The sequence below is a fragment of the Homo sapiens genome, chromosome 4, assembly GCF_000001405.40.
Source record: "Homo sapiens chromosome 4, GRCh38.p14 Primary Assembly".
In the NCBI taxonomy this organism is placed as follows: Eukaryota; Metazoa; Chordata; class Mammalia; order Primates; family Hominidae; genus Homo; species Homo sapiens.
The window spans coordinates 183,725,614-183,737,206 of record NC_000004.12 but is presented as its reverse complement, the minus strand read 5'-3'; the positions used below and the strand labels follow the sequence as shown (position 1 = coordinate 183,737,206).

Here is an 11,593-nt window from a genome sequence, read left to right as displayed (position 1 = left end):
TCTCTGCCCGGCCGCCCATCGTCTGAGATGTGGGGAGCACCTCTGCCCCACCGCCCTGTCTGGGATGTGAGGAGCGCCTCTGCTGGGCCGCAACCCTGTCTGGGAGGTGAGGAGCGTCTCTGCCCGGCCGCTCCGTCTGAGAAGTGAGGAAACCCTCTGCCTGGCAACCGCCCCGTCTGAGAAGTGAGGAGCCCCTCCGTCCGGCAACCACCCCGTCTGGGAAGTGAGGAGCGTCTCCGCCCGGCAGCCACCCCGTCCGGGAGGGAGGTGGGGGGGTCAGCCCCCCGCCCGGCTGGCCGCCCCGTCCGGGAGGTGAGGGGCGCCTCTGCCCGGCCTCCCCTACTGGGAAGTGAGGACCCCTCTGCCCGGCCAGCCGCCCCGTCCGGGAGGGAGGTGGGGGGATCAGCCCCCCGCCTGGCCAGCCGCCCCGTCCGGGAGGTGAGGGGCGCCTCTGCCCGGCCGCCCCTACTGGAAAGTGAGGAGCCCCTCTGCCCGGCCAGCCGCCCCGTCCGGGAGGGAGGCGGGGGGGGGGTCGGCCAGCCGCCCCGTCCGGGAGGGAGGTGGGGGGGTCAGCCCTCCTTCCGGCCGGCCGCCCCTTCCGGGAGGTGAGGGGCGCCTCTGCCCGGCCGCCCCTACTGGGAAGTGAGGACCCCTCTGCCCGGCCAGCCGCCCCGTCCGGGAGGGAGGTGGGGGGGACAGCCCCCCGCCTGGCCAGCCGCCCCATCCGGGAGGGGGGAGGGGGGGTCAGCCCCCCGCCCGGCCAGCCGCCCCGTCCGGGAGGTGAGGGGCGCCTCTGCCCGGCCGCCCCTACTGGGAAGTGAGGACCCCTCTGCCCGGCCAGCCGCCCCGTCCGGGAGGGAGGTGGGGGGGTCAGCCCCCCGCCCAGCCAGCCGCCCAGTCTGGGAGGGAGGTGGGGGGTCAGCCCCCCGCCCGGCCAGCCGCCCCGTCCGGGAGGGAGGTGGGGGGATCAGCCCCCCATCTGGCCAGCCGCCCCGTCCGGGAGGTGAGGGGCGCCTCTGCCCGGCCGCCCCTACTGGGAAGTGAGGAGCCCCTCTGCCCGGCCAGCCGCCCCGCCCGGGAGGGAGGTGGGGGGGTCAGCCCCCGCCCGGCCAGCCGCCCTGTCCGGGAAGGGGGAGGGGGGGTCAGCCCCCCGCCCAGCCAGCCGCCCCGTCCGGGAGGTGAGGGGCGCCTCTGCCTGGCCGCCCCTACTGGAAAGTGAGGAGCTCCTCTGCCCGGCCAGCCGCCCCGTCCGGGAGGGAGGCGGGGGGGGCGTCGGCCAGCCGCCCTGTCCGGGAGGGGGGTGGGGGGGTCGCACCCTTTCCGGCCGGCCGCCCCGGGCCGGGGGGAGGGGGGGGGGTCAGCCCCCCCGCCGGCCCACCCGCCCAGTCCCGGAGCGAGCGGGGGGCTCAGCCCCCCACCCGGCCAGCCGCCCCGTCCGGGAGGGAGGTGGGGGGATCAGCCCCCCGCCTGGCCAGCCACCCCGTCCGGGAGGTGAGGGGCGCCTCTGCCCGGCCGCCCTTATTGGAAAGTGAGGAGCCCCTCTGCCCGGCCAGCCGCCCCGTCCGGGAGGGAGGTGGGGGGGTCAGCCCCCCTTCCGGCCGGCCGCCCCGTCCGGGAGGTGAGGGGCGCCTCTGCCCGGCCGCCCCTACTGGGAAGTGAGGACCCCTCTGCCCAGCCAGCCGCCCCATCCGGGAGGGAGGTGGGGGGGACAGCCCCCCGCCCGGCCAGCCGCCCTATCCAGGAGGTGAGGGGCGCCTCTGCCCGGCCGCCCCTACTGGGAAGTGAGGAGCCGCTCTGCCTGGCCAGCTGCCCCGTCCGGGAGGGTGGTGGGGGGTCAGCCCCCGCCCGGCCAGCCGCCCCATCCGGGAGGTGAGGGGCGCTTCTGCCCGGCCGCCCCTACTGGGAAGTGAGGAGCCCCTCTGCCCGGCCACGACCCCGTCTGGGAGGTGTGCCCAGCGGCTCATTGGGGATGGGCCATGATGACAATGGCGGTTTTGTGGAATAGAAAGGCGGGAAGGGTGGGGAAAAAATTGAGAAATCGGATGGTTGCCGGGTCTGTGTGGATAGAAGTAGACATGGGAGACTTTTCATTTTGTTCTGTACTAAGAAAAATTCTTCTGCCTTGGGATCCTGTTGATCTCTGACCTTACCCCCAACCCTGTGCTCTCTGAAACATGTGCTGTGTCCACTCAGGGTTGAATGGATTAAGGGTGGTGCAAGATGTGCTTTGTTAAACAGATGCTTGAAGGCAGCATGCTCCTTAAGAGTCATCACCACTCCCTAATCTCAAGTACCCAGGGACACAAACACTGCGGAAGGCCCCAGCGTCCTCTGCCTAGGAAAACCAGAGACCTTTGTTCACTTGTTTATCTGCTGACCTTCCCTCCACTATTGTCCTATGACCCTGCCAAATCCCCCTCTGCGAGAAACACCCAAGAATGATCAATAAAAAATAAAATAAAATAAAATAAATAAAATAAAATAAAATAAAATAAAAAAATCCAATTGCTGGATAAAAAAAATAATAATAATAGGTCTGGCTGTTTTGGGGACAACTACTTATAAAATGAACACTCTTGATGCAAAGAATAAAAACTGGAAGAAAATTCTCCAAAAAGTTCAAGGTCTTCATCATTCAGTAATGGCTGGTGAATTATTTTCATTTTCTTATTTATATTTTTCTGCCTTTTCCAAATTTTCTACTATAAATATATATTCCTTCTATAAATAACATAGTAAAAATAAGAAGATGAATGGCCTAGGTCAAAAATTTTGCAAACACTGTTTTAAATTGCAAAAAGAATTCAGGGCCCGGAGTGGTGGCTCACGCCTGTAATCCCAGCACTTTGGGAGGCCTTGGCGGGCGAATCACTTGAGTTTAGGAATTCAAGACCAGCCTGGCCAACACGGTGAAACCCCATCTCTTCAAAAAATACAAAAATTATCTGGGCGTGGTGCTGTGTGCCTATAATCCCACCTACTCGGGAGGCTGAGGCAGGAGAATCGCTTGAACATGGGAGGTGGTGGTTGCAGAGAGCCAAGATTGTGTCATGTACTCCAGCCTGGGCGACAGAGTGAGACTCCGTCAAAAGAAAAGAGAAAGAAAGGAAAAGAAAAAAAACGGAAAAGAAAGGAAAGGAAAAAAGAAAAAAGAAGGAGGAGGAAATAAGGAGGGAGGGAGGGAGGAAAGAAGGAAGGAAGGAGACAGAGAAGGACATTCAAGATCAAGATATTCTGGAATAAACTTATCTTAGCCCAGGTTCTCTGGAAACCAGAACCAAGGACAAGGCATTTGTGCTTATGCTTTACTAGGGAGAGTAATCCCAAAAAGTATCAGTGAAGGAAGGAGGGAAGGAGGAAGGAGAAAAGAGGAAAGAAAAAAGGGGGAAGGGGGAAAAGAGGAAGCAGAAAAGGAAGAAAGGGGAAGGAGGAAGCAGGGAAGGAAGGAAGGAGCAAGGAGGGAAGGAGGGAGAGCAAACACAAGTGCATTGCTGAGCTCCTCACAAAACCGTGATTTTTCTGCCTTACAGGATGTCTCCGGAGAGGCTGACTAAACTATAAACAGTATCATAAAACAGTCCACGAAGGAAGGCAGACTTCATCCACTGACTCTTGTCTGCCATTGACTGAAGTTTGTCTCACAGGACACCAACTCCTCGTCCCCTTATCTGGGCGGTCTCTGCAGGCAGCCACCAGGAGACCGGATCCCAAGCAGTGGTGGCAGCCTCCCTTGCCCACCTGCAGCCTGCAACTTCCAGGGCCTGGTGAGGTGAGCAGGAGGGCAAATGTGGGCTCCGAGAGGTCATGGGAGCCGAGGAGTGTCCCACAGGAGGGCAGAGAGAGGCAGGCAGCGGGCTGCTATCCGATGGTGAACTCCCTGGGCACCCCGGCAACCAGAAGCCAAGTGTGCAGGTGCAGCTCCACGTGCCACTCCGGGCATCATGAGGTGCAGATGCAGCTCAACAGGCCTCCCTCCCAAGAAGACAGAAACGCCATCTCTGGACATGTGGGTTGTTAGGGGTCATGGACAGTCCAGCCGCTCCTGCAGTCCTGCTCGGATGGGCACTCAGTACATGTGGTCAATGAGGGTGGCTTTTCGGGGCTTCAGGGGAGAGTCTGAAGCCCAAGGCTCTGTGCATCTCCGACGGGTGCGCAATCACTTCCCGGCACCTTGTTTTCAATGAGAAAATAAAGTTCATCCTGTTGTTTGCTGCAGAGAAAATAAGAGCAAATCTTGCAGGTAGATTTCACTGAGAGGCAGAAATTACGTGTGGCCTGTCGGGATGCGCGGGGCTGCACAGGTTCACCGGTGCAGCCTCTGATCACCCAGGGCCTCTGTGCAGCGAGCAGCAGTCACAGAGACTTGGGGCAGATGGAGCCCTGCTGCATGGCAGCCCCCACTGCTTACAGTTCCTTATGTCAGCTCAGAAGACCAGGACTCAAGCGCAGGGAATACAATTTTCTCACAAATAGGAGTTCTGGACACACAAACAAAACAGAAGGCGAGGGAGACTCAGTCACATCTGTCAGGGCCATCGTTCAGCGTGTGCTACAACTGTCCTGGTTACAGGGCTCGGGCAGGTGACTCAATTCCCATTTTTGTGATTGATGAAATACCATAAGGGGTTTCGGAAGAAGTTTCCAAAAGGCAAAATCTTTTTATTTGCATCATACTTTATTTGAAGAGCCCTCCAAAGACGTCATCTTGTACTGTCTCCAGAAGAAAAGATGTCAGCTGGGGTTTTCCCTGGTGGGAGGACAAAGAAATGTGGCTTGAGAAAAAACAAAAAAACTTCTGCAAAGTGACTTAGGGCTAGAGCACCCACGGTGAATGAACGACATGGGCCATCAGCCTGCAGTGTCTGATAGAACTCTCATTGTTACACTTTGACAGAAATTGTCCGTATCCTTAGGCACGTTATGTAGGCCACGGTACATCTCCAACTTACCTGGAACTAGCCATGAGAATAAAGGGTGCACTCAGAATCACTGTGCTTCGGTTTCCGCTTTCTCTTTTCTTTTCTCTTTTCTTTTTTTTTGTTGTTGAGACGGAGTCTCGCTCTGTTGCCCAGGCTGGAGTGCAGTGGTGTGATCTCAGCTCACTGCAACCTCTGCCTCCCAGGTTCAAGTGATTCTCCTGCCTCAGCCTCCCGAGTAGCTGCGACTACAGGCGTGCACCACCACGCCCAGCTAATTTTTGTATTTTTAGTAGAGACGGAGTTTCACCATGTTGGCCAGGATGGTCTCGATCTCTTGACCTCATCATCTGCCCACCTCGGCCTCCCAAAGTGCTGGGATTAAAGGCATGAGCCAATTTCTGCTTTCAAAAGCACCAGGACTTTGCTGTCGTGGGACTTGGAAGCTTCCAGGTATTAGGGCATTAGATATGATTACGGCCAGTGCTTTTACGGGCATTCATATGGGCCCATTATTTATTTATTTATTGAAACAGGGTCTCATTCTGTCGCCCAGGCTAGAGTGCAGCGGCATGATCTCAGCTCACTGCAACATCCGCCCCCCCCGGGTTCAAGCAATTCTGCCTCAGCCTCCCCAGTACCTGGGATTACAGGCATGTGCCATGACGCCTGGCTAATTTTTGTATTTTTAGAAGGCATGGGGTTTCACTATGCTGGTCAGGCTGGTCTTGAATTCCTGACCTCAGGTGGTCCACCCCTCTTGGCCTCCCAAAGTGCTGGGATTACAGGCGTGAGCTACCGTGCCCGGTCTGGGCCTCTGTGGTTTGATTCTGAGCAAATGACAAACGGACATGGGGTGGGGTGAGGGAGGAGTTCTCAAATGTAAATGTAAATTTGGAAAATGAAGAAGGCAGGCTAGGTGCAGTGGCTCATGCCTGTAATCCCAGCACCTTGGGAGGCTGAAGCGAGGCAACTGCCTGAGGCCAGGAGTTTGAGACCAGCCTGGGGAACATAGCAAGACCCTGAAATAAATAAATTGATAAATAAATAAAAAGTAATGAGAAAGGACAAGAAATAGGAAAGAAAAAAAAGAGGAATCCGAAACTGAGGAATAAATCATTTCTAAAGAGTAGGCCCAAATTTACCTATATGTGCAACAAATATTCTTTTTTTCTAATGCACCATGGATGGTTCTGGGGGAGCTGGAGACAAGGCGGTGAATACAACATGTCTGTTTGGCACTTGCAGTCTAATGGTTCTGCTGGAAGGCCCATTTAGGAAGTTGTGGCAAGACTGAAGCTATCCCCTCCGGTTTAGTTAAGACTCTGAAACTCTTTAGGTCACTTGGCGGCATCCCCTAAGCCAGCGGCCTAAGTCCAGATCTGTCTCCTGCAATCTAAAGGCTGAGACACCTCAGAGTGTCTGCTATGAGAACCCCTCCTGGCTACATTAGACTGGAAATGTGGACAGAACCGACTCAGTGAACATGCCAAGCCACAGATCAGTCACTGACATCCTCAGGAACCTTCTAGATTAGAGAAAAGCATCATGGCTATAATTCCAGCCGTAGCTCATCTGCTTCTTCCTGGAGTAGCCATCAGACAAGAGCAGATCTTCATCTTATGCACAGTAGAAGCTTGCCAGGAATCCACCTCGGGTGCCTTCAGTGTCATATTGGTATCACTAGATGTGCCTTCGACAGAGAAAAAGGGTGTATACAAGAATTTTTGCAAAAATATCTAGAAATCATATCCAGGTATCAGTGTGTGTAGCAAAGAGTGGATGTCTGATATACTACCTTCTAGCCCCAAAACATTTTCAAAAGAATGGTGCTGGAATGAGATACCTAGACATATACTCAAATGCATTGATGCCTCCAAGACAACCAAAAATCACATGTGAAACCTGCATCTCAGCATGGCCACGAGGTGCCGAAAGACTGAAGAGAAGGGTAGTGGATTAAGCATGACATTGTAATTTGGGAGAATTGGGCTCTTACCTGGCTCTCCTGCTGACTAGCTGTGTGACCTTGGGCAAGTCACTCTAGTTCTCTCCAGCATCTGAGCACCTCTCATCAGTTCCACTGCCACTCCTCTCTCCAGGGCCCTGGGATCACCGCAATGTCTCCTCTACCTTTGTACCCTGACAGTCCAGGATCAACACAGCAGCCAGAGTGATCCTGTGAAAGCTAAGTCAGAGCTCGTCACTCCTTTGCTCTAACCTCCCAGTGGTTCCCTATTCAGAGAAAAAGCCAAGTCTGTGCAATGAATGGCCTGGAAGGTCTGGCAAGATCCGACACCTCTGTGATCTCATCGCCTTGCTCACTCTGCTCCCCACACTGCTCTGGAAATTCCCGTTGGGCATGCCCCTCCTTCGGGACATTGAAACTAACTCTTCTCTGTGCCTAAAGCCTGCTTTCTCCAACCACCTCAAAGCTAATGTCCTCTTCAAGTTTTTGCTTAAACGCTACTTTTTTGGCGAGTCCTGCTCTGACCTCCTATTTAACAATGTAACCCCCACTCACCCTGCTCTCCTTCTTTTTTGCCGGGGGTTGGGTGGGGAAAAACAGGGTCTCACTCTGTCACACGGGCTGGAATCCAGTGGCGCAATCATGGCTTGTTACAGCCTCATCCACCCAGGCAGCAGTGATCCTCCCATCTGAGTCTCCCGAGTAGCTGGGAGTACAGGCATGTGCCACCACACCCACCTCTAATTTTTGCATTTTTTTGTACAAATGGTGTCTTGCTATGTTGCCCAGGCTGGTCTTCAACGCCTAGGCTCTATCAGTCTACCCACCTCAGCCTTCCAAAGTGCTAGGATTACAGGTGTGAACTACCATGCTTGGCACCCTGCTGTTATTTCTTTTTTCATAGCATGTATCACCTTCTAAAATACTTTCTAATGTTTATCTATTATATTTGTGGTTTATTATCCATCCTAAAATACCCATGAGGAGGGGAGTCTTGGTGTATTTTGTTCACCAATGTACTTGAACTGGCTTAAGAGAGCACCTGACACATTTTTAGTGTTCAATAAACATCTGTTAAGTGGCTGGGGCAGTGGCTCACACCTGTAATCCAAGCACTTTGGGAGGCCGCGGCGGGCGGATTGCCTGAGCTTAGGAGTTCAAGAAACCCTGTCACTACTAAAATACAAACAAAAACAAAAACAAAAACAAAAAAAAAACCAGGTGTGGCAGCGTGCACCTGCAGCCCCAGCTAATCAGGAGGCTGAGGCAGGAGAATTACTTGAATTTGGGAGGCAGAGGTTACAGTGAGCAGAGATTGTGCCACTGCAGTCCAGCCTGGCAACAGAGCCAGACTCTGCCTCAAAAACAAACAAATATCTGTTAAGTCAAAGAATGAATGAACAGTTCAGAGTACAGTAAGAAAAGTCTCCATCCACATGCAAACAGGATTCCAGATGACATGGTTACAAATGCCCAGCCAGTTTGCCACTCTGTCTTCCCAGGCAGTGGAAAGGCGTATGTGAGCAGATGCCGGACCCGGTCAACTTCCAGGGAAAGCTGCCCCTCTGTAAGTAAGGAACGTTTGTTTCTGGTGCGAGACCCCAACTTCCTCTACCGAGGTTCCAACAGCCTCGGTGGGATTTGTGCTGGGGTCAGAGACCAATGAATGACGGATGGACTGACACTGGGTTGCTGTCAATCACAAGATGTCTGCCAGCCCCTCCCTCTCCTTACACACACAGTTCGGAGGCGTTCACTCCTGCCATCCCCTTCGACTGAACAGAATCCAGCGGAGAGTTGCACAGAAGGCAGAACAAGCTACTATTTGGCAAAATGCTTAGCGTTGGCCAAACGGGGGCTGTGTCCTTAACAGCTGCTGTTAAGGTCCGGGGTCTAGGCCGGGCGCGGTGGCTCATGCCCGTAATCCCAGCACTTTTGAGAGGCCGAGGCAGGTGGATCACTTGAGGTCAAGAATTCCAGACCAGCCTGGCCAACATGGTGAAAACGTCTCTACTAAAGATACAAAAAAATTAGCCAGGCACAATGGCTCACGCCTATAATCCCAGCACTTTGGGAGGCTGATGCAACCAGATCACTTGAGGTCAGAAGTTTGAGACCAGCCTGGCCAACATGGCGAGACCCCATTCTCTACTGAAAATACAAAACAACTAGGTGTGGCGGTGGGCACCTGTAATCCTAGCTACTGGGGAGGTCGAGGTGGGAGAATCGCTTGAACCCAGGAGGCAGAGGTTGCAGTGAGCCGAGATCGCGCCACTGCCTTCCAGCCTGGGTGATGGAGTGAGACTCCATCTCAAAGAAAAAAAAATTCTGTTAAGGTCGGGATCACTCCATATCTCTCTCACAAATAGAGAAAGGGAAGTCAGCAATTCTACAAGAATTGGCTGCTTTTAATTCCATTTTTAGCATTCGGGAAGTATATATTTTTAAAAATTCTGCTTGATCAGTGAATAAATCCTTATTTAACTGCACTAAATAATATGATCATTGACAGAACACCTAAAACCGTATCCTGTAGCTATCCAGGACATAGTTCCCTGAAGATAGCCCGCTACACTTCTGCGTACTCTGGTGGAGAGCTTTCTCTCTGCTGACTGACTCAACAAGGCAGCTGACCTTGGGCCTCCATACTATTTGGATTCTCTCTAGTCACTGTATCCAGTTCAATCACTGAGTTAAACCAGCAAGTGGCTGTTGACTGTAGCATTTCACAGAACTGTTTTTAGTAACAAGACAGCCCAGATTGCACTTTCGAGCAACTAAGTCATCCCCTGGCCATTGATGGCTGCGTCCAACCCCATCTGAGCCCTGCTTTGGGCACTAGAGAGAAAAGAGATACAGGACAAAGAGCTAGTTGAGAGACAGAATGCAGCCTTTAAAAAGGTGCAAGATGAGCTGGGTGCAGTGACTCATGCCCGTAATCCCAGTGTGTCCAGAATTGGTGGGTTCTTGGTCTCGCTGACTTCAAGAATGAAGCCATGGGCCCTTGTGGTGAGTGTTATAGTTCTTAAAGATGGTGTGTTGTAGGGAAAGGAAAGATCAGACTGTTACTGTGTCTATATAGAAAGGAAAGACATAAGAGACTCCATTTTGAAAAAGACCTGTACTTTAAACAATTGCTTTGCTGAGATGTTAATTTGTAGCTTTGCCCCAACCACTTTGCCCCAGCCACTTTGACCCAACCTGGAGCTCACAAAAACATGTGTTGTATGAAATCAAGGTTTAAGGGATCTAGGGCTGTGCAGGACATCCCTTGTTAACAAAATGTTTACAAGCAGTATACTTGGTAAAAGTCATCGCCATTCTCTAGTCTCAATAAACCAGGGGCACAATGCACTGAGGAAAGCCGCAGGGACCTCTGCCCTTGAAAGCAGGGTATTGTCCAAGGTTTCTCCCCTTGTGATAGTCTGAAATATGGCCTCATGGGATGAGAAAGACCTGACCGTCCCCCAGCCCGACACCTGAAAAGGGTCTGTGCTGAGGTGGATTAGTAAAAGGAAAGCCTCTTGCAGTTGAGATAGAAGGCGGCCACTATCCTGCCTGCCTCTGGAACTGCCCAGGTCTCCTGCCTGCCCCTGGGAACTGAATGTCTCGGTATAAAACCCGATAGTACATTTGTTCAATTCTGAGATCAGAGAAAAACCGCCCTATGGTGGGAGGCGAGACATGCTTGCAGCAGTGCTGCCTTGTTATTCTTTACTCCACTGAGATGTTTGGGTGGAGAGAAACATAAATCTGGCTTACGTGCACGTCCAGTCATAGTACCTTCCCTCGAACTTAATTATGACACAGATTCTATTGCTCACGTTTGTTGCTGACCTTCTCATTATCACCCTGCCCTCCTACTACATTCCTTTTTACTGAAATAATGAAGATAGTAATCAATAGAAACTGAGGGAACTCAGAGACCAGTGCTGGTGCTGGTGCTCTGGGCCCACTGTTGTTTCCTCTATACTTTGTGTCATTTCTTTTCTCACTCTCTCGTCCCACCCAACTAGAAATATCCACAGGTGTGGAGGGACAGGCCACCCCTTCGGTGTGTCTGGAGTTTCTTCCTTCTGGTGGGTTCGTGGTCTCCCTGACTTAAGGAGTGAAACTGCTTACCTTCACAGTGAGTGTTACGGCTCCTAAGGGCAGCGCGTCTGGAGTTGTTCATTCCTTCTAATGGGTTCATGGTCGTGCTGGCCTCAGGAGCGAAGCTGCAGACCTTCGTGGTGTTACAGTTCATAAACGTGGCGCGTCCGGAGTTGTTCATCCCTCCCAGCAGGTTGGTGAGTTCATGGTCTCGCTGACCTCAGGAGTGAAGCTGCAGACCTTTGCAGTGCGTGTTACAGCTCATAAACACAGTGTGGACCCAAAAACTGAGCAACACCAACATTTACTGGAAACAGCAAAACAACAACCCTTCCACAACATCGCAGGGAACCCAAGTGGGTTGCCACAGGTGGCTCGCATGGCCTGCTTTTTATCCCCTTATTTGGCCCCACCCACATCCTGCTGATTGGTCCATTTTACAGCAAGCTGATTGGTCCATTTTACAGAGTGCTGATTGGTCCATTTTACAGAGTGCTGATTGGTCCATTTTTGACAGAGTGCTGATTGGTGCATTTACAAACCTTTAGCTAGACACAGAGTGCTGATTGGTGCGTTTACAATCCTTTAGCTAGACAAATAAGTTCTCCAAGTCCCC

The 11,593-nt window shown here is 52.9% G+C and overlaps 1 long non-coding RNA gene across 1 annotated transcript; it reads right to left on the bottom strand.

The window, feature by feature from the left end:
- Positions 1-3,169: 3,169 nt before the first annotated feature.
- On the bottom strand, positions 3,170-11,343 carry LOC105377581 (uncharacterized). Its single transcript, XR_939545.4, has 3 exons — positions 11,008-11,343; positions 6,916-7,104; positions 3,170-4,747 (listed from the first exon to the last, which is right to left on the bottom strand). It is a non-coding gene; the product is annotated as an uncharacterized LOC105377581 (long non-coding RNA).
- Positions 11,344-11,593: the final 250 nt, after the last annotated feature.